This window comes from Homo sapiens, chromosome 4, assembly GCF_000001405.40.
Source record: "Homo sapiens chromosome 4, GRCh38.p14 Primary Assembly".
In the NCBI taxonomy this organism is placed as follows: Eukaryota; Metazoa; Chordata; class Mammalia; order Primates; family Hominidae; genus Homo; species Homo sapiens.
The window spans coordinates 37,072,717-37,099,952 of record NC_000004.12 but is presented as its reverse complement, the minus strand read 5'-3'; the positions used below and the strand labels follow the sequence as shown (position 1 = coordinate 37,099,952).

The window sequence follows — 27,236 nt, the reverse complement described above, 5'->3', positions numbered from 1 at the left end:
TCTGAAGGCTCTAGGGGAGAATCCAGTTCTTAGCCTTTTCCAGTTTCTAGAGGCTGCCTGTATTCCTTGCCTCATGGCCCCCCTTCCTCCACCTTCATAGTCAGCAACAGCTAGGTGAGCCCTTCCCACATTGAAATCTCTCTGGTTCTTTGAAGCCTGGATAGGTCCTCCACTTTCAAGGATTTATGTGATTACATTGGACTTACCTCTATAATCCAGGATAATCAACCCATCTCAAGGTCCTTAACCTTAATCACATCTGCAAAGGCCTTTTGCCATGTAATGTAACATAGTCACAGGCTTTGGGAATCACAGCATAGATATCTTCAGGGGCCATTATTCTGCCACCATAAGTAATTCTATCCTTTTGTTAAACATCATTGAGAGCGTTTCCAACTGAGTTGCTAGAAATGCCCTCTTGTGCTTGACAGTGTAGTGAGTGTCGGGGCGTACCACCTGCATTCCTCTCCATGACGCAGGCACTCATTCCCTCAGCTGCTGAGAGCATTGACAGCAACTGCATGCAGCTGGATCCCTTTTTGGGAATTGCCATTTGCTGAAAAACGCCACCAACTCCAAAGTCACAGTTTCTTCTGGGGGACCACCTGCATAACTTGTCCTGGTTGGGGAGAGAGTGTGAGTTTAAAAACCAAGCTTCTCTTCTTCAATGTGGGGCCACTCTGAAGTCCCAGTCTGGCTCCAGCCCTCCCTGATGCCTTCTTTGTGATCTCATCCCAGTTCAATGTTTCCTTTTGCCCAGTCCTGCTGTCTTCATTTCCCCACAGGAGCTGATTTCAGAAACAATTCTCCATAAACTTCCTGCATGCAAATCACCAACTCAGAATCTGCTTCCTGGGAACCTGTCTGCAATATGCTGTGATAGACAATATGTGGAGTCCTGCAAGAACCTGCAGAATTCCTAAAGCCAAACACAAATAAGAATAAAGAAAACTTTTCAACCATGCACTCTTTCATTGATGAAAAATCATCTGCCTGATTTGTACCCACTAGCAAGCTAACATTCATGCTTCTTAAATATGGTCGATCCTCATTATTCAGATTCCATATTGGAAAATTTGCCTTCTTACTAAAATGTATCTCTAACCCCCAAATCAATATTCATGTCACTTTGATGGTAATTTGCAGACTATGACATGCAAAGACTGATAAAAATTTGAGCTTCCCAATGTGTAGTTCCCAGCTAAGGTCAGGTAAGGTGATGTACCACCTTCTTATTTCAGCTCTCATACTGTAAATGTGTCCTTTTTGTGGTCTATTTAGTGCCATTTTTTTTGCATTGTTTCTCCTTTTTTTGTTGGTTATTTTGCTGCTTTAACTGGCTCCAAAGGCAGTGCTGAAGTACTATCTAGTGTTTTTAAGGGGAAGGAACCTTGATGTTCTTTAGAGAGCTTATATAAGATAAGCTCCATCCAGGCATGAGTTAAAGTGATATTAGCCTAAAGTTCAATATTAATCAGCAATATATATTAAATACGGTGTCTTTAAATAGAAACATACATAAAACAAGGTTACTTATTGATTGGTTGATGAAAATGGCATGACTAGGGGCATATAGGAACCTAACCGTTTTCCCCTAGAAGCAATAGTCTAGTATTCACTAATTCAGTGTTCTTGGTGACTTTTAGGACACTATTACCATAAATAACAAAAATTTGCCGTATACTGCTATATAAATGCATTTTTCAGTATACTATAGTAAGAGTCTCAAGTGTGATTACTTCATTGCCCTGTATATTCTGCAGCCTTGGGGTGTCCTGAATAAGAACTGTGAGTGTACATGCCTGGAAGCAAGAGAAAAAGGAAATCCTCTTTTCATTTCAGATTCTGCCAACCCAGATATTCTGCTTTAACCTGGCTTCTGACTTACAGGATGGGATGATCTTTGAATATTTGTTGGCACCTTTTATGCCCTGGGAAAAAGAACCCAGATCAGTAGGTGAAGCCCTGAGCATCTTACAGGAGTACTGTAAGAGGAGTACAATGAGGCTAATTGGTGGAGTTCAAAGGCAGCCATAAACATTATTTTTCCCCAGATCATATGTTGTCTTCTGCAAATTACAGAGTAATCAAATGGAAGAGTTTTCTGACTCCTGTGTTCAAGCTATAGGTAGGAGAAATAAGAATTCCATAAATATGGACTTGAGAGGGGCTGATTCTATTCACTAACCTATAGTGATTCCTATTCAGCCCTCTTCAACTTCCTACAGAATTTATTTGTTTAGTTTTTTTTTTGTCCTAGTGCCAAGGTTGTGTGCATGTGTCCCTAATTATTGTGTTTCTCATATGTTCATTGGAAAAAGGAATCAGTTGAATTTCTTTTTTATTTTAACTTTTATTTAAATTCAGGGGTACGAGTGCAGGTTTGTTACACAGGCAAACTTATGTCATGGGGGTTTGTCGTACAGATTATTTCCTTACTCAGATATTATGCCTAATACCGATGAGTTATTAGTTATTTTCCTTTCCCTCCTCCCCTCTCCACCCTCCAAAAGGTTCTCTTGTGTTTTGTTTCCCTTTATGTGTCCATGTGTTCTCACCATTTAGCTCTGACTTGTAAGTGAGAATACGTGGTATTTGGTTTCCTGTTCCTGTGTTAGTTTGCTAAGGATAATGGCCTGAATTTCTTTCCAGATGCCACAACTGAGGGCTCAGGCCCTGCCGTCACATCTTAGCAGGTTGTCCCCTCTTTCTGATACCCATAGGCCTGTCCCTTTGCTCATTCATGTTAATATCATCTGTTTCTTACTGGATTGTGACTAAAACAGGCACCAGTTTCTTAAGCCCTACAGAATGATGGATACCCGAATTTTGTTAAACACTCCAAAGAAATGGCAGGTTTTAAATGGCTTTGTTTTAGACATTTGATTATCTTCTTACAAGTTTATGTAAACTGCATTTCTGTAATTCCAATTATGTGTTATATGCACTAAAAGAGTATTGGATTTTTAAAAGCATTCTCTGGTACATTATTCCATAGTGAAGAACACTTTTACAAAAGGAATATTCACCCCATAGTGTATCTGTTTATTGATCTGGATTTTGTGTGTACTCAAAGATGCTGTTGACTTCCCAAGCACAAACTCCTGAATGGAAAACAAAAACATCTAACTTTATATTTTTGCTAAGAAAAATTTTAATTTTTTTTCTCATGTTCCCCCATGCCTCTTGATGAAGTTCCGTCTGGGTATTGTTAGTCAATTTCCGATTTTCTTTTTTTTTCCTAGGAGATAGGGCTTTGCTGTTTCCTAGGCTATAATCACTGTAGCCCTGAATTCCTGGCCTCAAGCAGTCCTCCTGTCTTAGTCTGCCGAGTAGCTGGGATTACAGGCATGTGCCAACACATTTACCTAATATTTTCTTTTTAAAACAATTGTATTGTAAAATGGGGTGTTGTTATGTTCCCCAGACTGGTCTCAAACTCCTGAACTCAAGCAATCCTCCTGCCTTGGCCTCCCTAAGTGCTGGGATTAAGAGTGTGAGCTACTGTGCCCAGCCCAAATTTACTGGTTAATCATTAGCTTTACTCCCAACGATGTCAATATTTTTCCTAAGTTCTTCAGAGTCTGAACTAGTGCCAAGGTGTGAGAATGAGGATGTGGCACGGTGGAAGTAGGGAACATCTAGTCTCAGGCATCCATGCTGATGTTCCTTTAAGACACCCTCAGCATTCTCTGTTGTCTGCTTTTTGTTCATACAGATGACTTCAGTGTCCCCATCATCTCAACCACTAGGACTTTCCAGGATCTCAGCTCTCTGAGTCACGCCCTCACCATTCTATGCCACATAAGGAAAAGTTCTACTGCTTCCTGTGCCACACTGGAAAGCATGAGAACTCTCTGAGGCTGCTTGAGGTGTGTCTACCTAATTACATGTCATAGCCATTTTCCCTTGGCTGCTCCCTAGTCATGGGGAGCAATGTTTTTTTTTTTTTCCTTCACCTACAGATTTGGAACCTCTGCTTTCAATTCTTCAAATCTGCATGAGTACTTTAAAAAATTTACCTCTCCTAGTGCATATAACATATAATCAGAATCAAAGGCAATTTACACCCACTTTTGCAAAACTCCTCAATTGCTTCTGGACCTTGGGTGAGGGCGTAAGACACAGGCTCCTCATCCGGGATGCACTGAAGTATGTTTTCTCTTTCTTCCCTTGGCAACTCATGCTCCCTGGCTACTTTATAGAATTCTTATTCAGGGGACAAGGTTATCCTGGCCTTCATCATTCTCTCAAATGTATTTTTTATGGCATAAACTTTATGTCTCGAATCCTTCAGGACCTTTGGTTTGATTCTCAAAACATCTTTTCTTCAAGCTAATGCCTCTGCCATAAATTTCAAGAGACTTTAGATTTTCATGGAGAGGACTCCCTTGTAACCTGAGTTTGGCTATATATTCTCTCCTGTGGCAATAATATACCAATCTAGTTTGAATAAGGAAGGGTCAGGTGGTCTGAGGAAATGCCTTGGAAAGAGATTGAAAGTGTGTGGGATGCAATCATTGATATTTAAAACTATTGTTCAGATATTCATGGGCCTTATGTTTAGAAATCTTTATTATGAAAAGTTTTAGGATCTGTTTTACTTTATTCTATATTCATTTTTCCCTTTCATATCATATGACACCACTGAGAAGCTACATTACCGTATAAGAAATAAATATTTGATGACATGTTACTTCTTTAAGTCAAGTAATGGAACAAAGATTTCTAACTATGCAAATACCTATGGAAACCAACCTGCCTTTTGCTGTGCAGAGTACGCTAAATAAATTGAGCCATCCATCATTACATGACTGCATTTCGGGCAGATTAAAGAGAGAAAACATTTATTTATTTCATTTTCTTTTCGGCTGCTCTCTTTCATGCCCTCATATCTTGAAGCATTGAATTCTAGCAGCACATTCTTGTCTCCAAAAATACACTCTTTTATTTATTATTGTGAAAAGGCTTAATGAGAAATGACAACCTGCCACCTCATCATGATTCAGTTTTTAGACTATCTAAAGTCTTCTAATTAATTTACTTCCAATGTGATTTTCATCCTTCTTAACATTTTATTGATTTATGGATTAATCAACTGCAACATTTCTACTGAAAGCAAATATAGCACCAATTCAAATAATTTATTCTTGCGTAAGCTTATCCTCCAATGCTGTCACCCATACCTTAATTCCCGAGACATAGAAGAAAGGTTGAATATTTTTTAAAGTACCATTTAAACTACTCCTTCCCAGAGTCTGTGTCTCCCCAGTGCATTCCTGTCCATCAACCTTCTTTTTTGTTCACTTCCCTCTTTGCCAAAGAAGACTTAATATTTGTCACTATAAAGATGCTCTTGCAATACTCCTTTGCTCCTTTGTCCTCTTTTCACACTTGATAGCTAAACAACAACTATCTTTGCCTGTACTCAAACAGCTCCTGAAACAGAGTGCGATGCCCTAGTAGGAAAAGAAACACACAGCTAGGAAAAGAAACACACAGCCATTGTTAAAACAATGAGCATATGAGCAAGTGACCTAGTAGTTGAAGTAGAAGGTTTGAATTTTAAAGCCCCACTCAACCTCCACCAACTTCAGCAAGAGGTCATGAGAATTCCCCTCAATTCACATATTATTCCTGAAACAAGAACTAGCAGGACCAGAGGAAACTTAATTAGGAGCAGATTCGAGATGATGTCATTGGATATAAAGGTATTGTTTGTTAACAACCATATTATTTAATAATTGATAATCAGGAAGCAATGTTTTCAGCATTTCATATCTTACTATTATAATTTGTTACTTTTGCATATACACATATTGCTGTGTCTTAGTTTCATTTTATAAAAATTGTAAATTGGTTAAGAATTTTTAAATTGAAATGTGCTACTTAATATTTTTCCCCTTAAAATAAAAATAGAGATTTTTTCCAAGATGCCTGACTAGAGATGTCAGAGGCCAGTTCTCCTCAGAAAGAAGAACCAAACTTACAGATGAATAATCATAACTTGAATAGAATATTAAGAGAAGAGTGCCAGAGCCTACCAGACAAGCTAAAGCACAGAACAACAACAACAACAAAAAACAACAACAACAAAAAAAAACAAGCAAGGGTTTGGCAGAGATTGAGCTTCAAGGGACTTGGTGTCTGGTGAACAGGGTAGGCGGGGTTTTCTGGCTCCTGTCACCCTTGCAGTAGGCTGCTGATTGCTGAACTGTTGGAGAGCCCCTCTGCCATCATGAGCCCAGGCACTGGTGTGAGTGGTGATGTGGGAACTTCTTGAGGGCATTGCACTGGGCTGCCAGTTTATGCAAGGTTGCTCACTCTTCTGCCACACCTGAGCAGTGGTGGGTTGATGCATACCCATTGTGGGACTGTCCTGCCTAGGGAATCTCAGCCCTTTTGTTGCCACATCATTGGATCCCCTGCAAACATTCCAAAGCACCTGCTCAAATTAAGGTAGCCAGACAGGGCTGACTGAACCCAGGGAAGCTGCAGAATTCCCAGTGATCTGGCCCTTGGGCCATGCTGCTCCTAGGGGAAGAGAGAGTGTAGCACACCAACAAAGCCCCCTTGGAACAAAGGAGACAAGAACATGTGCTCTGCTGTGCCTCCAGAGTGCCACACTTGTGGGCTGAAGGTGACTTCCCCTTTCCTAGTGGATACACAGACACTGTGTTCAGTCCTGTGGGGGAGGAGTGTGTTCTGTCCTAGAATCTAGGCAGCTCCATTGCTTGGACGTGGATGTGGAGAAGGGAACTTCTCCTCACCCTGCTCATTGCTGCAAACACAGACGTGGCTGATCCCACAGGGAAGAGGCATGGACACACCTGTGGATGGCCATTCCAGGGCTAATAAGAGCAGCTGCACCTCCTCCACTGTTGAGTGTCCACTGGATTGGGAATGCGTGAAAGGCAGAGCCCCTCTCCCTCTACACATGGAGCAGCAGCATTCTTGCAGTGGAAAACAGGCAGGTCTCAAAGCTATCTGTTTTAGACTGAGGGAAGAGGTTCCAAGTCAAAGCCATTTGGCAGAGTGCCATAGAACAATTATTTTCTATGGCTCTTAGCTACATTGTGGCCAGGGGATAAACAGCAGTGTCTATCTGAATTGAGAGTCATGAGCCCCAGGAGGGTACAAATGAAAAGTTCACTAGAGAGATAGATTAAAAAAGAAAAACACTCTGAACTTCTGGAAACAAAAAAGTCATGAAGGAATTACAAAATACAGTTGAAAGCCTTAACTGTAGACTAGACCAAGTAGAGAAAAGAATTTTAGAGTTTGAACAGATCTTCAAATTAACATAGTAAGACAAAAATTTTATAAAAAAAATTAAAAAGGGAACAAACCCTTTGAAAAATATGAGATTATGTAAAACATTCAAACCTACAAGTCATATGTATTCCTGAGAGAGAAAAAGAAAAAATAGAAAGTTTAACAAACCTAATTGAGGAAATAATTGAGGAAAGCTTTCCTATTCTAGTTATAGATTTATACCTACAAGAAGCTTTGAAAACTCCTTTAAGATACTTTTTCAAGACAGACCACCAAGGCATATAGTCGTCAGACTATTTAAAGTGATCAGGAAGGAAAAAAATCTGAAAGGCAGCAAGAGAAAAGCATGTAATTAACAATAAAGGAAATTTTATCACACTAACAGCAGATCTCAGCAGAAATCCTGCAAGCTAGAATAGATTGGAGTCCTATTTTTGGTCTTCTTAAAGAAAAAAGTGTCAGCCAAGAATTTTTTTTTTATCCTACTAAACCAAGTATCATACATAAAAGAGAAATAAAGTCTTCCCCAGACAAGCAAACATTAAGGGAATTTGTCACCTGTAGACTAGTCCTGGGAGAAATACTCAAAGAAATTCTAAACATGGAAACCAAAGGTTAATAATCACCATCACAAAAGGACACAGAGGTATATAACTCACAGGTCTTATAAAACAATTACACAACTGAGACTACAAAGTAAATAGGGAACAATTAACATTATAACAGAAATAAAATCTCACACACCAATATTAACCTCAAATGTAAATTGACTAAGTGCTCCACTTAAATGATATACATTGATGACATGGATACAAAAACAGGATGAAATTACATGCTGATGAAAGAAAACTCACCTAACTGGTAATGACACTTATGGACTCAAGATAAGTGGGTGGAAAAATACATTCCATGCAATGGAAACCAAAAGCAAGCAGGAGTAGCTATGCTCATATCAGATAAAACAGACCTTAAATCAACAATAGTAAAAAAAAAGACAAAGAAGGTCATATAATGATAAAGGGATCAATTCAACATGAGAATATAATAATTATTCATATATACATATGTACATACATATATGCACCCAACATCAGAGTATCCAGATTTATAAAATAAATACTAAGAGACCTAAGGAAAGAGATAAACAGCAACATAATAATAGTTGAAGATTTCAACACCCCACTGAAAGCACTAGATAGATCATCAAGGCAGAAGATCAACAAAGCAACACTAGACTTAAATTGAACTCTAGACCAAATGAACCTAACAGACATTCTACCCAACAACTGCAGAATATACATTCTTATTAGTGCATGCATCTTTTTTAAAAATAGGCCATATGTTATGCCACAAAATAAGTCTTGATAAACTTAAAAAAATCAAAATTATATCAAGTATATTATTCTCAGATCATAGTGGAAGAAAACTAGAAATCAAAACTATGCAAATATGTGGAAATCAAACCATGTGTTTTGACTTATATTTGGTCAATAATTAGATGAAAGTGAAAGTCAACACTTTTTTTGAATTGAATGAAAATAGAGGCAACATATAGCAAAAGCAGTGCTAAGAGGGAGCAATGAAAGGCCTACATCAAACAATAGAAAGATTACAAATTAACCACCTAACATCACATCTTTGGAACTAGAAAAACAAGAACACACCAAGCCCAAAGCTAGCAGAAGAAAAGAAATAACAAAGATCTGAACAGAACTAAATGAAATAGAGATAAAAAATGCAAAGGATCAATGAAATGTAAAGTTTCTCTTTTGGAAAAATAAACAAAGTTGATAGACCACTAGCTAGATTAACTAAGACAAAAAGAGAAAAGATTCAAATAAGCAGAATCAGAAATGAAAAGGAGACATTACAACTGATACCACAGTAATACAAATGATCATCAGAGATTTCAATGAACATATCTACACTCACAAGCTAGAAAACCTAAAGGAAACAGGCAAATTCCTGGAAACATACAGCCTCTCAACATGAACCAGGAATGACTAGAAATCCTGAATAGACCAATAAGGAGTAGTGAGATTAAATAAGTAATGAAACATCTCCCAACCAAAAAAAGCTCAGGACCAGACGGATTCACAGCTGAATTATGCCAGACATACACAGAAGAACTTTTACCAATCTTATAGAAACTACTCCAAAATAATTGAGGAACCAGAAATCCCCTCTAACTCATTCCATGAACCCAGTATTACCCTGATATCAAAGCCAGAGAAGGAAAGAACAACAAAAAGCTACAGGCCAATATCCCTGGTGAATATAATGCAAAAATCCTCAACAAGGTGCTAGCAAACCAAATCCAACAACTCATCTAAAAGAAATAAACAACTATCAACTGGGTTTTATTCCAGGGATTCATGAATGGTTCAACACACAAAAATTAATAAATGTGATTCACAACATAAACAGAAAAGCAAAAAAACATCTGATCATCTCAATAGATTCAGAAAAAACATTTGAATCATTTGATAAAATTAGGCATCTCTTCATGAAAAAAGATCCCTAGATTTTATAAGTAAATAATGTCAGTACAATTTCAGGATACAAACTAGACATTGAAAAAAATCTCAAAATAACAAAAACCATACACAAGAAACACATAGTCAACATCATACTGAATGGGGAAAAGTTAAAAGCATTTCCCCCTGAGGATTTTAAGAAGACAAGAATGCTCACTTTCCCTACCCCTATTCAACACGGTACTGGAAGTCCTACCTAGAGCAATCAGGCAAGAGAAAGAAATAAAAGGCATTCAAATTGGAAAAGAGGAAGTCAAATTATCTGTATTTTCATATTATATGATCTTATACCTAGAAAATCCTAAAGACTCCTCCAAAAGACTCCTAGATTTTATAAATAATGTCAGTAAAGTTTCAGGGTACAAAATTAAAGTATAAAAATTAGTAGCATTTTTACACACTAGTAATGATCCAGCTGAGCACCAAATAAGAACTCAATCCCATGTATAGTAACTACCAAAAAAAAATTATTGGAATACATTTACTCAAGGAGGTGAAAGATCTCTGCAAGGAGAACTAAAAAACATTGATGAAAGAAATTGTGGATGACACAAACAAATGAAAAAACATGGCATACTCATTGATTGGAAGACTTAGTATTATTAAAATGACCATATTGCTCAATGTAATCTACAGCTTCAGTGCAATTCCTATGAAATTGCCACTGTCATTTTTCACAGAATTAGAAAAGAATAATCCTAAAATTCATGTGAAACCAAAAGATAGCCCACATAGACAAAGTAATCACAAGCAAAGTGAATAAAGCTGGAGGCGTCATTTTATCCAATTTCAAATTAAACTGCAAGGCTATAGTAACAAAAACAGCATGGTACTGGTATAAAAATAGACACATAAATCAATGAAACGGAGTAGAGAATCCAGATTTAAAACCTCTATATTTACAGTTGAATTATTTTCAACAAAGTCAAAAAAACCTACCCTGGATGAATGCATCAGTAGGTTTTATTCTTAAAAAAAAATTTTTAAACTACCCTGGAGAAAAGACACAATAGTTAATAAATGATGCTGGGAAAATTGGATAGCTATGAGTGAAACTGGACCCATATCTCCCACCATATACAACAATTAACTAAGGATAAATTAAAGACTTACATGTTAGACATGAAACTATAAAAATTCTAGAAGAAAAATTAGGAAAAACTCTTCTGGACATTGGGCAAAGCAAAGCACTTATGAGTAAGTCCTCAAAAGCAAATGCAACAAAAACAAAAATATACAAATGGTACCTAGGTAAACTAAAAAAGCTTCTGGGCAGCAAAAGAAATAATCAACAGAGTAGACAAAATGATGTACAGAAAAGGAGAAAATATTTGTAAATTATGTATCCAACAAAGGACTAATATCCAGAATCTAAAAGGAAGTCAAACAACTCAAGAAAAAGCATATAACCCTATTAAAAAGCGGACAAAGGACATGAACAGCCATTTTTCAAAAGAATATGTACAACTGGCCACAAACACATAAAACTGCTCAGCATCGTTAGTCATTAGAGAAATGCAACTTAAAACCACATGGGATACCATCTTACACCAACCAGAATGGCTTTTATTAAAAAGTCAAGTTCAACACACGTTGGTGAGGATGCATAGAAAATGGAATGCTTATGCACTGTTGTTTGGGATATAAATTAGGACAAAGTCTATGAATAACAATATGGAGATTTCTGAAAGAGCTAAAAATAGAACTAGCATTTGATTCAACAATCCCACTACTACCTACATAAGGGAAAAGAAATCATTATGCTAAAAAGATACCTGCACTTGTATGTTTATCACAGCACCACTCACAATAACAAAGTCATATAATCAACCTAAGGGTCAATGGATGGTTGGATAAAGATAACTTCTGTTCAGTTTTAGTGAATATTATTCCTTCATTTATCTCTTTGGGCATTTTAAACATTAAAATAATTCCATTTACAAAATAAATATGTTTTGAAATTGATACAATTCTAATTTATCAAATGTATGTGTAAGAGTTACCAGAATCAAAATGAAATCACTTGTGAAAAAAGAAAAAAAAGGCAAATAGAGCCAGGGAAGGCTGTAAAGAAAGGGTTTCTTACCCTGGTATGCCTGATATCAGAACTATAACAAAAGGTTTGGTAAAAACTACCTCGCACAAAGGTCATTGCAACCTCACACAAAAAATACTATCATAAGAACATATGCCCAGCTACTACCTGTCCAATCTCAGACTGGTGTCTCCTTTGCTATTGAGCCTTGTGGCCAAGGGAAATTATCTGAAAACAATTATGTAACCCACCTGCATTTTTCCTTTAAAAATTTTTGTCTTCTCTTACCTTCCTGAATATGCACATAGTTTGCAATGGCATGTGTAGTCCCATTGCAATGCCTTATTTCTGAATAAATATCATTTTCTTTTACAGAATCTCTCTATGCTTGTTATTTAGGTTGATATACGTATATGTTCATCAACACATACACAAATGTTTCTGAGCTTCACTTAAATCAATCAGGTTTTGCCTCTAGCTTTGGTAGGGCTGATGTATGTCTACATGGCCAATGTCTTTTGCTGTTTCATACCTTTGCTGTACTGGTTGCTGTGTGTTTTGAATATCCCTCTGGCATTAGGTATAATGAGACCTATAGCAGAAATTCTAGTTGCCTTCTCTTAATGGCAGAAGGAATCACAACAGCAAAGAAAAAAGAAAAGAAAGAAAGAAACTGAAGAGAGAAACATCATATAATCCACCAAGGCAAATTTGACCCAACCTCCGGAATTTACAGCTACCTTTAATAATACCTAAAGAGGAAAAGTCTGAATTAAGCCTTGGCATTTTTTTTTTCTAGAAGAGAAAATATTGCACAGAACAATACAAAATTAGAATCAAGAGGGATTACATATTCCATTAAGTAAAAGCCTCTCATTTTAGAAAATTAGAAAAAGAGAAACAAAGGTGTTAACTGGCCAAGTTCTTTTGGCTGGAGACTGTTCAGAGGACGGACATGGCCCCTTTCCCTGACATGCTCTTTCTCTATTTCGTGGTTTCCTTTAATCCCCAGAAGACTTCAATCTCCCTAGCATTGTTTATAAAAATATTCTGGCATATGCCAGCAAAAATGTTCAAATACGTAAACTCCTTCTCATCCTCCCTTAGCCAGATTTTTCACTAACTTTATCTCACTTGAAAGAAACATGAGAAGTACTTCTCTTTAGGATGTGAACCAGCAAAATCAATGTCTAAAAACAGTTATTTGGTTTCATAGGCTTTAATTAGCAAAGTAATTTTTTTGGTAGCATTTTTCACCACAGTGTTATTCTCAAAATAGTTTTAAGGATAACATGCTTGTTTTCTAAAAATATTGAGTTCATGTGGAAAGCATTTTTTTTAATTTAGTCTCCAAATACATTTTTATCTCTCCAACAAAGGTCAATTTGTAACCAATTATCACCTTAAAAATATAGGCAAAGCCTCTGCATTAGTCTTCTATGCTGTTATATTAAAATTAAAATGTCCAAAATTAAATTAATATTTAAATAATTAAAATGTGAAGTCTTTTTGAATATGTTCCATATATCTTACAAATTTTAAAAACACATATCTAAATAGATAATTTTACTTCTTAAAACTTAAGACCCCTCAGAACTCATGTAGCGTCCATTCAGATGATTATTGTGAATAATTATTATATATTGAGAATCTACCAGGTGTCAAATTCAGTGGGTTACTTAAGTCATCTTGCTCATCTCTCACAGCAAGCCAGTAAGGTAGTTATTTTTCTCACCTTATTCCCATATTATTTTCTTGAAATTATTCCTCAGTTTTCTGTATAGGTCATGGGAAACTGAAGAACACAGAGTAAGGAAACTTTTCTAGAGAAAGGGCTAGCTGATGTAGAGGTGAGATATAATCCGTATCTGCCTGATTTTAGTGCTTAATTTTGTTATCACTATATCAATGCTTCTCATATTTTTTCCTCGTTGCAGCTCTTTTAAGTTTACTCTAATTTTTCTTATATTTTCAAAAATTCCCACTTTCCTTTTTACATGATTCAAAAATTAAATCTCCTCTTTCTAAGTCTCCTACCTTTTTATTTACTCTCCTCATTCTTTCCGCAAAATATGACTACATTAAACTGTTCCATGACAGTAACAAAGACTTAAAAATCAAAAGAGGAATATTAATTATTAAACTTTTGAATAAACTGTTGTTGAATATCATTTGGTGTTCTTTTTCTCCTGGATATCTGGTAGATTACTCCTTATCTTTCTTCAAATTTCTCTCCAAATGCTGCTTTCTAAAAAAGGATTTCTTTTCTACCCTTCTTTTATTGTATTGAAATATAATTCACATATAATAAACTTCGCCATTTAAAATTATACAATTCAGTGTGTTTCAGTGTATTAAAAGCTTATGAAACCATTACCACTAATTCTAGAACATTTTTGTAACCTTCCCAAAGAAGCCCTATCCTCATAGATCAGTCACTCCTCAATCTCTTCTCTTCCCCAGCCACCTGCCGGCTCCTGGCCACCACTAAGCTTTCTGTCTCTGAGAGTTTGCATATTCTTGACCTTTTGTGCAAGTAGAATTGTACAATATGTGTATGATTTTATGTCTGGCTTTTTTTCACTTGACATAATGTTTTCAAAGTTCATTCATGTTGTAGCATGTATCAGAACTTTATTCCCTTTTATGTCTGAATAATATTTCATTGTGTGGTTATACTATACTTTGTGTATCCATTCATTAGTTGATAGGCATTTAGGTTGCTCCCACCTTTTTAGATGGTATGAATAATTCTCTTATTAACATTTGTGTTCAAGTTTTTGAGTGAATATATGTTTTCATTTCTTTTGTATGTGCCTAAAAGTGGCATGGCTGGGTCATATAGTAAATTTATGTTTAACTTTTTGACGAACCTTCAAAATGTTCACCAAAGTAGCTGCGCTATTTTATATTGACAATGTATGTTTCCAATTTCTCCACATCTTTGCCAACACTTGTTATTGTTCATCTTTTTTGTTATAGCTATCTTAGTTGGTGTGAAAGGGTATCTCATTATGGTTTGGTTGCATTTACCTAATAACTAATGATTTAGATAATCTTTTCATGTGTTTTATGAACTTTATATATCTCCTGTGTAGTAATAGCTATTCAAATACTTGACCCATTTTTTTTCTCACTGAGTTGTCTTTTTATTATTGAACTTTAAGAGTTTTAAAAATATGTTCTGGATCTAAAATCTTATCAAATGCATGGCTTGTAAGTAAGGTAGGCTATTCTGTACGTTGCCTTTAAATTTTATTGAAAGTGTCCTTTGATGCACAAATGTTTTTAATTCAATGAAGTGCAGTATATATATATATATATTTTTTTTTTTTTTCTGGTTGCTTATGCTTTAGGTATCTTGTCTAAGAAACTTTTGCCTAATCCGAGGCCACAAAGATTTATACCTATGTTTTCTACTATGAGTTTTATCCTTTTTTTCTCTTACATTTTTGTCTCTTACCTATCTTTTTTTTTTGAGGTGGAGTCTTGCTCTGCACCCAGGCTGGAGTGCAGTGGCGCGATCTCAGCTCACTGCAAGCTCCACCTCCTGGGTTCGCACCATTCTCCTGCCTCAGCCTCCCCAGTAGCTGGGACTACAGGCACCCGCCACCACGCCCGGCTAATTTTTTGTATTTTTAGTAGAGACAGGGTTTCACCATGTTAGCCAGGATGGTTTCGATCTCCTGACCTCGTGATCTGCCCGCCTCGGCCTCCCAAGGTGCTGGGATTACAGGCGTGAGCCACCGTGCCCAGCCATCTCTTACCTATCTTGAGTTCATATTTGTATATTCGATTTCCTTGCTAATCTTCTATCTTCTTATTTTATTCATCATTGAAAGTCAGGTGCTGAAATCTCCAACTATTATTGTTGAATTGTCTATTTCTTCTTCTAGTTCTGCTTCATGTATTTTGGGTCTCTGTTGTTAGGGACATACAGTTTTATAATTATATCTCCTTGATGGACTGACCTGTTCAGCATTATAAATTGTACTTTTTGTCTCTAGTAATAGTTTTCCTCCAAAGTATATTTTGTCTTCTATCAGGAAAGTTACTATAGCACTTTGGTTGCTGTATACATGGTATGTCTTTTTCCATCCGTTTAGTTTCAATCAATTGTGTCTTTTAACAGAAAGTGTATCTTCTGTAGAGGGAATATAGTCACAGCATAGCATTTTATCCATTCTACTAATTGCTTCCTTTTTGATTGAAATGTTTAATCCCTTCAAATTTACTATAATCACTGATAAGGTAGGATTTATGTCTGTCATGTTTCTAGTTGTTTTCAATGTCTTTTCATTCCTCTATTATTCCATTCCTGCTTTCTTTGGGCTACATAGATATTTTCTAGTGTACCATGCAATTCCTTTACCATTCCTTTTACTATGTTATTTTCTTAATTGTTCCCTGATAATTATGATTAACATTATTATTTACAAGAGTCTATTTCAGATTTATGCCAATTAATTTCCATAGTGTACAAAAACTTTTCTCCAATATTGCACCACTTCTTTTGCTCTCCTTTGTGCTATCATTGTCACTCATATTACGTCTTTGTACATTGTATGTAATATAAATGAACACACATATATAATTATTGCTTTATGTAGTTGTCTTTTAAATCAGATACGAAAAAAAGAGTAATCACAAATTTCAAATACATTTATACTCTCTTTTACATCTACCTGTATAATTACTTTTACCAGTATCTTTTATTTCTTCATGTAGATTCATGTTACTGTCTAGTGTCTTTTCAGGTCAGTCTGAAGTACTACATTTAACATTTCTCTTAAAGCTGTTTTGTCAGTGACAATGATCTCAGTTTTTGTTTGGCGATATCTTAATTTCGTTTTAATTTTTGGAAGATAATTTTGCTGGATTTAGAATTATTGAGTGAAATTTTTGTTTTTCTTTTAGCAACTTGAATATGTCATTCCATTGTCCCTGGCCTCAATAGTTTCTAATTATACACTTGCTGTTTATCTTAGTGAGGATTCCTTTTACATGATGTATCACTTCTTTCTGGCTGCTTTGAAGATTCTTTCTTTCTTTGTCTTTGACAGTTAATGACTCATCTGATTATAATCCTTATTGAGTTTAAACTATCTGGAGTTCATTGAGCTTCTTTGATGTATAGATTAATGTAACTTTTGAAATAAAATTTGTTATGTTTCCTGTCCTTTTTTTCAAGTTTTCTTTCTGTCCCTTTTTTCTTTCCTCCCCTCCTGGACTCCGATAATGCATATATTGGTACAGGTGATGTTATCTGTAACAGCTCTCTAAGACTGCTAATTTGTTATTATTGTTCTTTATCTTTCTGAGACTGAATCATTTCAATCCACTTATCTCTATGTTTGCTGATACTTTCTTCTGCCCTCTCAAATTTGCTGTTGAACCACTCTAGTAAATTTTTATTTTAGTTTTATTTTCAATTCCAGAATATATATATTTTTTATTTTTTATACTTTAAGTTCTGGGATACATGTGCAGAACATGCAGGTTTGTTACATAGGTATACAAGTGCCATGGTGGTTTGCTGCACCCATCAACCCATCATCTAGGTTCTAAGCCCCTCATGCATTAGGTATTTGTCCTAATGCTCCCCCTCCCCTTGCCTTTCACTCCCCACAGGCTCTGGTGTGTGATGTTCCCCATTCTGTGTCCGTGTGTTCTCATTGTTTGACTCCCACTTATGAGTGAGAACATGTGGTGTTTGATTTTCTGTTCCTGTGTTAGTTTGCTGAGAATGATGGTTTCCAGCTTCATCCATGTCCCTGCAAAGGACATGAACTCATTCTTGTTTATGGCTGCATAGTGTTCCATGGTGTGTATGTGCCACATTTTCTTTATCCAGCCTAACATTGATGGGCATTTGGGTTGGTTCCAAGTCTTTGCTACTGTGAATAGTGCTGCAATAAACATATGTGTGCATGTGTCTTTATAGTAGAATTATTTATGATCCTTTGGGTATATAACCAGTAATGGGATTGCTGGGTCAGATGGTATTTCTGGTTCTAGATCCTTGAGGAATCACCATATTGTCTTCCACAATTGTTGAACTAATTTACACCCCCACCAACAGTGTAAAAGCATTCCTATTTCTCCACATCCTCTCCAGTATCTGTTGTTTCCTGACTTTTTAATGATCGTCATTCTAACTGACATGAGATGGTATCTCATTGTTGTTTTGATTTACATTTCTCTAATGAACAGTGATGATGAGCTTTTTTTCATATGTTTGTTGGCCACGTAAATGTCTTCTTTTGGGAAGCATCTGTTCATATCCTTTGCCCACCTTTTAATGGGGTTGTTTCTTTTTTCCTTGTAAATTTGTTTAAGTTCCTTGTAGATTCTGGATATCAGACCTTTTTCAGATGAATAGATTGCAAAAATTTTCTCCCATTCTGTAGGTTGCCTGTTGACTCTGATGATAGTTTCTTTTGCTGTCCAGAAGCTCTTTAGTTTAATTAGATCCCATTTCTCAATTTTGGCTTTTGTTGCAGTTGCTTTTGGTGTTTTAGTCATGAAGTCTTTGCCCATGCCTATGTTCTGAATGGTATCCCCTAGATTTTTTCTTCTAGGGTTTTTAGATTTTAGGGTATACATTTAAGTCTTTAATCCATCTTGAATTAATTTTTGTATAAGGTGTAAGGAAGTGGTCCAGTTTCAGTTTTCTGCATATGGCTAGCCAGTTTTCCCAGCACCATTTATTAAATAGGGAATCCTTTCCTCATTGCTTGTTTTTGTCAAGTTTGTCGAAGATTATCTCTATTGATATTCCATATTTGTTAAGTCATTGTTTTCATACCTTTTTTTAGTTCTTTAGCTATCATGTCCTTGAGGTCTTTGAACATATTTCATATAGCTGGTAGAAAAATATTTATCTAGTAAGTCAACTTTTGGGCTTCCTTGGGAATAGTTGCTATTGCTTTTTTTCTTATGCATGGGTCACACTTTCTTAGGTATTTCCATCTCATAATCTTTTGTTTGAAACTGGACATCTAAAATAATCTAATATGACAATTCTAGAAATAAAATTCTCCCCCTTCTCCAGGATTTGATGCTGCTGTTTGCTGTAGTAGTCTTGTATGTTTGTTTAGTAATTTTCTGAGTTAATTTGGTAAAGTCCATATTTATTGTCACATGTGGTCTTTTAGATTACTCTATTACCTTAGTGCTCAGCTAATGATTGGATAATTTCCTTAAAAGTCTGGAACCAATACATCTTCCAGCTTTTGCTGAGGGGCTTTGTGTGCTTGTTGCAAAGCAGGCCCTCAACATTCAGTTAGGCAATTGACAACTCTGCCTTAGCTCTCACTTTCTCATTGCACAGGTCCCTATGGTCAGCCAGAGGTGGTAATATGGGACTTCTTAAGGATTTTCTGAGCATTACCACACCCCTGAGAATGTGCACAACCCTATATGACTTTCTAAATAACAAAAATTATGTTGGAGATTTTTTCAAAGACTGTATTGACATGTCATTTCTCAGCTTTTCCTTTTAAATTTTTAGTCACTGTTTCTCCTGTTATCCACTGCCTAAGACAACCACAAAGTTAAAACACTTTCCAGTAATTGTTTTTGATAAATATTCTTCAGGGAAAATAATTTTTGCACTAGGTGAGCTCCTAAACAGGCCAAGTACAGGTGGCCTTGTAACTGATATATTTCAGAGAACCACCAGACTGCTCAGATAATGACAATTATTTTGGAATGAAGCTTTTTAAAAAGTTGCAGCTCCTTTGTACTCCCTTTGATGGCTTCTGGGCTACAGTGGAAATGTGGGCTGTTTTTTCTCAATGGTACTGCAGAGCTGTAGAGCAGGAGATAAGATTAGGACACTCACTGTTCTTGCTGAGATCATTTATTTTTCTTGAATAAATCCTCCCTGTGTTACTTCAAGATTTTTGTTATTTTTTCCAGTATTTTGAAGAAATGATTCTGACTTTTTTTTTTTTGGTCAATTTTCTCATTACTTTTGTGGAGGAGATCGTTTTTGGAGGTCCTTCTGCCATCATTTTACTAACATGTCCAGAAGGCATTTTCCTGAACACCTTATTTAAAATAAATGATATTAACCTCTCACTCGTTTTCATATATATATACATATGTATATATAGACAGTTTCCATAGTACTGTTCATTATCTGCCATACTATGTATTTAATTGTATACTTGTTTATTGCATGCGGTAGACTTTGTAGTCTTTTCCCATTTTATTTTCCTTTTCCATCTTAATAGCATTTTACCTAGGCCTTGAATGAGAAACTAGAGACTACATTTTCCTCTCTCCTTTGTAGCTGGCAAGCTGATGTTACTAGTTCTGAACAATGGGAGTAATGTATGTAATATCACTGTAACTGTCTCAAATTGCAGTGTCTCAAAAGATAAATGCTTGCCATGGAATTTTTTCTCCCCTCTCAGGTATATATGTCGTGTTGACAATACAGCTGCAACCATGTGTGTAAGGACTACCATATAAATAGAAGAGTTATAGCACAGGAGGGCATGGCAGAGCAAGACGGAACACATCTGGGCCCCTAAATAACTTTGTAGAGCGAGCTGCTCTTCCTCATCAATATCATTACTAGCCTTCAAAGAAAAAAAAAATCTCATGATTAACCAGGGACCAAAGTTTTGCCTATAAAGTTATTTACAACTTGTTTTACTGAAGCTGGAGGCAAAAACAAACAAACAAACAAAAAACTGTTCATGGGAGAAACTGCTAAAATATTTTCTTCAAATAGATTTTTCTGTCTATGGGGACTCACTATTAAGTTGCACTGCAGAAGATATATTAGGGGAAAAGATGCTTCATGAGCACCAAGGGTAGTTAATAACATTCTAATCCATGTAAATTAAATACAAATTATAAAATAATTTCTAAATTCTAGGATCATATATTCATGGGACTTACAGATAGACACTGAACTTTTAAAAAATATGAAGCCGCCTAATTGGGTCAGGTGGACAAAAAGGCAATAGTAGAACCAAATGCTTGTCCTTAGGCCTAGATTGGTATATTTACTTATCTGTCATTTTTCCTGTCGTTATGCATGGCTAGGAAACATGATTGTGGTGGACTGTCATGCATTACATCATGGTAGTAACTACTAGATCCATCATTACTTGTTCACAGGGGAAGCACAGGAGAATATGGTCTCAAGGCATCATTTAAAGATGCTGGATTTCCCATAACTGGGAGCTAAGCTATGAGGATGCAAAGGCATAAGAATGATACAATAGACTTTGGGACTCTAGGGGAAAGGATGGGAAGGCGGTGAGGGATAAAAGACTACAAATTGGGTTCAGTGTACTGCTCAGGTTATAGGTGCACCAAAATCTTACAACTCACCACTAAAGAATTTACTCATGTAACCAAATATTACCATTCCTCAAAACCTATGGAAATTAAAAAATGAAAAAATAAATAAAAATAAATAAAGATGCTGGACTTACATCACTGTAGCCTACCTTCTGCCTGAGTATCTGAAGTTGTCCCCTTCATCTCACTCTGTTGGCTCCTTCTGCAAAGAGCAAAGAATTGATTCTCCTTAAATCATCTGTTCATGGTTGTTCCTTCAGAATTGGGGCTGATTTTCCATCGCTTAAAGTGGACTTTCTCTCTTTCCACGCTCTGCAAGATATTATATGGTTGTGTCCAGGACCCAACTTTGATCATACAGACAAGAAAAATGTCCTAGGGGATGGGAATGCAACAGAAATATGGGTATACACTTGCTCCCTGAATGACCGTGTGAATCAGAACCTCCCCACTCTAATTGTGAGACTCTGATTCTACCTAGGACACTTTCCATATGCAAGTTACCGATGCTGTATAAATTTTTAAGCCACATTCTGTGTTTTATGATATTGTTTTGGAAAATGAGAAAGGTATATTATTTAGAATTAAACTCAAATTGCTGTAAGCCCAAACACAAAGCTTAACGAAAATTCAAGGCCACTACTATGGTTCTGGGTCATTATTCTGTGATGTAATAGTGTTAAGAGGAGTCATCAGGAAGGTGATGCTTTCAAATGGCCATCAGGGACCATAAAACTATAAAGACAACAAGGAAAAGGAAACCCAAAACTTAGAACACTGGTTTGCTCTTAGTGGGAAGGGGAAAGAAAGGGACATGTAAGAACTACAAAAGTAATGGCATAGATGAATTTTTTGTTAGTTGACTTGTTTTGCTTTCTGCCAAATATATATTTATAAATACTTTACTCAATTTTTAATAAAAAATTTTAAAAAAGAAAAAAGTTAAAAAAGAGTTCTTGGTAAGACAATGAGAATTAATCCTTCTTCTACCAACTCTGTTAACTAGGAAGAAGGGAGAGAGTAGAAGACACTAATATTTATTGAGCACCTACTATGTGCCAAGCAGTTAAGGTGTAGTAACCAAAATTATTTCACTTACCTATCATAAAGATACCTTGAAAGTCATTACTATAAACTATTTTTGGAAGAGAAAACTGAGGCTGAGAGACTGAATGATTTTCCAAGGTCACACAGCTAGTAACCAGCAAAACTGGGATATAAGCTTGTATATTTCTTGACACCAAGGCCTGTGCAAATGGCTAGTGGTATAAGGTACTATTTCCCAATTCTTAGTTGTTGGCTTAACATATACCTGATATTTTCCATATCTGAGCACTTTTGACTACCACTCTAATCATTTCTACCATGCTGAACATATCATATTGTTATTTCCTTAATATTTTTTCTTTATAACTTGATTTTATTTAAAATGGAAACTTTGCATCATAGGTGGAAAGTGGAAAACTGTTATCATTTGGCATAAATAGAAGATAACAACTGTGAGTAAAATTGTGATGATTTATCTAGATACTGTTTGTTGAAGGCTCTGGGTCAAGACCTGTTTTCTGTTGCTTGTAAGGGGGAGATCAGCAAGTGTGTATGCGAGGCTGTTAGAGGTATGTTCATACCAGACTGACTCATATTCAAGAACTATTGAGAAAAAAATGGAAAGAGAATTACAGTTTATCAGGTGAATCCATGGTGCTTATTGTTGTACCTGAGTGTCAAGTCAAACCTAAAATATTTCATATTCTATCAGTCTAGTACTTTGGGAAATAATAGTTAGACTGAAGTGGGGTCACATCTTTGCTTCAGCAATTTCCAGTTAACAAACTTCTCTCATTTAATGTTTTCTCACTTGTAAGATGGAAATGTACCTGACAGATTCTTGTGAATATTAAATGTGACAGTACATAGAAAGCCCTTAACAACCATGCCAGTAGATGTTCAGAGAAAATGAACCATGATTTTCCTGTTCCCTGCACTCTATTGTTTTTGCTGTAGCTACCTGACCTTGTAATTGTAGTTATAAAATTGTGGCCCCATCCCACTCAAGAGTTCATTGAGATTCTTGTTACTAACCACTTGTCACATAAACAAAATTGGATTAAAAAGGTCAATGAGGAAGTGTATCATATGGAGACATTTACTGAGCACCAGCACTGATGGGTAAAGTGATGTTTTTTGTTTTGTTTTGTTTTCTCTGCACAAAGGTGTCTGGGGCTAAAGGAGCAAGTGGGATCTGAAATGAAGCTTATGTTATGCAACCTAAGCCATAGGCCCTGGCACGGTGCTGCGTGAACCTTAGCAGGTTTTTTTTTTTTTTTACCTTATTTGTATTAAAGTGCCTTATTAGTGTGGCAGTGGTCTCTCCCTTCTAATTGCCCATTACTTATTTATGTGAAGGCATTTCCTATGCATTATGAGTGCATTGATGATAGAAAAATCAGATTAAAGATTCTTAAGCAAACTTACTAAAGAAGGCAGCTAATTTTTTTTCCAGGTATCTTTAATGTGCCAAATACTAGGCTAGGGACTTGGCAAGGGTCCCAGAACCCTGCCCAACTCTGTTAACTGTTCATCCTCTCTCCTATGTTTGACAGTGCTCACATCAGCTCTGATTCTGCTTCCAAATAATGTCAAAGTTCAGTTTTAAAGTTAAAGTGTAAGTCTCCATGGAATTGAAGAAGGAGCTGAAGGATGGATAAGTAAACTGGGATATACCAGGGAGAGAGGCAGGATAGAAAAAGTCATCCAAATTTAGCCGTGGCAGAACCGGGTTATTTTTATTTTGACCAATAAGCAAAATTCAGAAAAGGATCTTTTCCCTTTTGTCAACTTTAAAATAAAGAGACCTCTGTGTCACTGCAGTGGCTTCAGGCACTATATTTATTCTTGTAAGGGGAGTGAAAGGAAGAAAATTGATGGAGCCAGGTCTCTTTGCTTGGGTTTTAACTTCTCTTTCTCATCATTTGAACCATTCCCACCTGTGAGCCAGGCTAGCTAAAGGGACCTGGTTCTCAGTGGGAGACAAGAAGTCATGCATCCACGTGGGCCTTCCCTTCCATTTGCCCACACAGATAGGCATTGTGGGTTTTCGGGCAGGTCCCTTAGCCTCTCTTCATCAATGTCATAGGTTCTCACTGTGATCAGCACTTTATATGTATCAATTGGTTTAATCTTCATAACAATTCTAAGAAATATTGTAGGGTTGAGTAATACTCCTATTACTATTCTAATTTTACAGAAAAAAAATGAGAGTAACTGTCTAAAAGAAGTACAATTATTAAGTGGCAGAGTTTCATCTAGAAAATGGGACTTGACCATTTCCAGGAAGGAGGTGCATCTTCTCAGTTTCATGCTGGTACTTGGACCTCTACTTCTATGAAGTCTAAGTTAACAAATTAATTGGTTTATTATTTATTATTAGCCAGTGTCTAAAAGCTTTATCTTTCAGGATTTTAAATCAAGCATGTAAATGTGGCGTTTGTTCAGCCTTATGGGCTGTGAGACCTTCTGTATATACATGGTTTAAGCAACTAGGGAATCCTGAGGTGAGGTGGAAGTGGCAGCCCCAATGTTGCTGTACTGACATCAGCTACTGGGGGACAAAATGAGCCCCAGGAAAGCCCAGTTGAGGTTCTCAGCTAGTAGAAAGCAAAGCATTGACTCAGCATCTCTCATGTTCCAGAAAAGTAAAAAGACACATCTTGGACAGTAACGGAGAGACCTTCTGCTTATGAACACCTTGGCTGCAGTTGGGAAAGAAAAACTAAACAAAGTAGGCTTACGAAGACACCTCTGAACCAAGCCCTTCTGTATCCATGATGTCTGCTATAAATAAAGATAGACTTGCAGATGGGACCTTGGAAACGCTAAGATAGTTTTGGGTAAGTGTGTGTGTATGTGAGTTTCTTTAGTTTGGAGTATACAAAATGAATCATTATTCATTTTTTTATTTTGAGACATGGTCTCACTCTATTATTCCTTTTTTTTTTTTTTTTTTAGACAGGATCTCACTCTGTCACCCAGGCTGGAGTGCAGTGGCGTGATCTTGGCTCACTGCAACCTCTGCCTCCTGGGTTCAAGCGATTCTCCCGCTTCAACCTCCCGAGTAGCTGTGAGTACAGGCGTGCACCACCAAGCCCAGCTAATTTTTGTATTTTTAGTAGAGATTGGGTTTCACCATGTTGGCCAGGCTGGTCTCGAACTCCTGGCATCAAGTGATCCACCTGCCTTGGCTTCCCAAAGTGCTAGGATTAAAGGTGTGAGCCACTGCTCCTGGCCCATTATTCATTTCTAATAGGCAATTTGTATGACATTGGCTCCTAAATTACAAAATGCAATTGCAAAAACAGTTTTTCTTTTCTGAGAGAGGTCTTTTTAGTTTGACAACTTCATAAATCTTGGACCTCTTGATACAAAGTTTCTGTGTTGGCTCCTATCACTAGTAGAGAACATTGGAAAGTCTGCTCACTGTTTACAATGATTTACTGGTGATCCTCTAGTCTGATGCCATCATTGCCTGCTGGTGGGCTGGAGGTACCAGTCAAGTAACGGTTCTCAACTGTAAGAATTCTTGCTCTTCCAGTATTAAGGTTACTTTATTATCCTGTTCCAATCTGATACCCTGATACCAGGGACTCAGCTCACATAGAGCTTCTTTCTAATGGACTTAGCCCTAAACTCCATTATTCGTCCTCCATGGCACCCAAGATATTTTCTTGGGTTACGCCAGGATTTCTTGGGTTAATACCAGGATTTTGGGGTCAGCAATTCTTTAAATATCCACATCATGCAGTGCCTGGAGCTAGTCCTTACCAAAGACTTTGGGTATTAGCTTTGTTTTCCTTGCATCACACCTGCTGGAGAGATGTAAATTCAATAGGATCTCTGTAAATTGGTGTTAATACATCCTCTATAGCTACTCCTACTGCTTCCAACCCCAGTGGAGAAAGTGGAGAAGTGAGGGCCGTATTAGGAATCTCTGCTTCCACAAGCCAGGGCTGAGGGACTAAGTGGCTAAGTTGGCTGGACTTCCTGGGTCAATAGGGACTTCCCTAAGGGGACTTTCCCCTAAGCCGAAATGGGTCATAGCTGCAAGCTAAGGGATTGAAACTTCAACCAATCAAAGTGGACTTTCCCCTAAGCCCAAATGAGTCATAGCTGCAAGCTAAGGGATTGAAACTTCAACCAATCATATAGGGAGTTTAAGCTCTAGCTACAGCCTGATGTTTTTAACCAATCAAGCCCGCTAGCCCACAAGTGGATAGAAAATAAGCTAATTCTATAGGGCAGAAAAAGGAAATGGGGAGGGGTCATAAGGGGCTATAAGCATAAGACACCCAACCAGAAACAGCAACCCTTCAGGGTCCCCTTTCACCACATGGAAGCTTTAGTTTTGCTTCTGTTTTACTTTCACTTTCGCTTTAATAAATCTTGCCGCTGCACACTCTTTGGGTCTGCGTGTTTCTCTAACTGAGCGGTAACACTCGCCACTGTGGTCCACAGCTTCATTCCTCCCGTGAGATCACAAACCCTTCGATCAAGAAAAACCTTCTATCGGAAGAAGACTTCTCGTCTCAGGTCCATGTATCTACTACTGCAATTCCTAAAAGTGAACTTCATACCTCCATTAGTCAGATGTTTTCTTTTCTTTTTTATTCCCAAAACTCGCTTATTTCTTGTCTCTGTTGAATGGCAGCTGGACGGACCACTGTGTTTCTCCAACTATCTGCATTGATCATTCTTCCCGTTGGTCACTTGATTACATGTATCTAATGTGTCTACCTATTTTTTGCATAGAGGCTGATTACAGCTGCAGGAACTGAGGGGGCTTGACTTTTGATAGAAACTCTGGATCATGCCCCAGAACCACTTTAAGAGACTGGACTCATGAGACCTCTTGTCTTGGGCAGGGCCCTTGATGGCTATGTCTGTTTCTCACAGAGTGGGTTATAACAGGGGACTAGATAGTAAAATGTTTAGATGAAAGAGGAGGCAGAAGACAGAGATTCATTTAGACTGGATGCTTGGTAACTCTGAGGTGTTAGAAGTGGAGAAAA

At 36.9% G+C, this 27,236-nt stretch overlaps 1 long non-coding RNA gene across 12 annotated transcripts in view; it reads right to left on the bottom strand.

The window, feature by feature from the left end:
* Positions 1–26,404, bottom strand: part of LOC101928721 (uncharacterized) — a 60,301-nt gene extending 33,897 nt beyond the window's left edge. For 3 of the 12 annotated variants that reach the window (NR_188349.1, NR_188350.1, NR_188353.1), the window contains exons 1-2: positions 25,649–25,729; positions 21,321–21,373 (exon numbers count right to left, since the gene is read on the bottom strand). This is a non-coding gene — a long non-coding RNA (uncharacterized LOC101928721). Of the gene's footprint in view, positions 1–206; positions 920–21,320; positions 21,547–22,702; positions 22,822–25,648; positions 25,730–25,992 lie in introns of those variants that run through there. The other 9 variants (NR_188351.1, NR_188348.1, NR_188355.1 and 6 more) reach the window with 8 other exon arrangements.
* Positions 26,405–27,236: the final 832 nt, after the last annotated feature.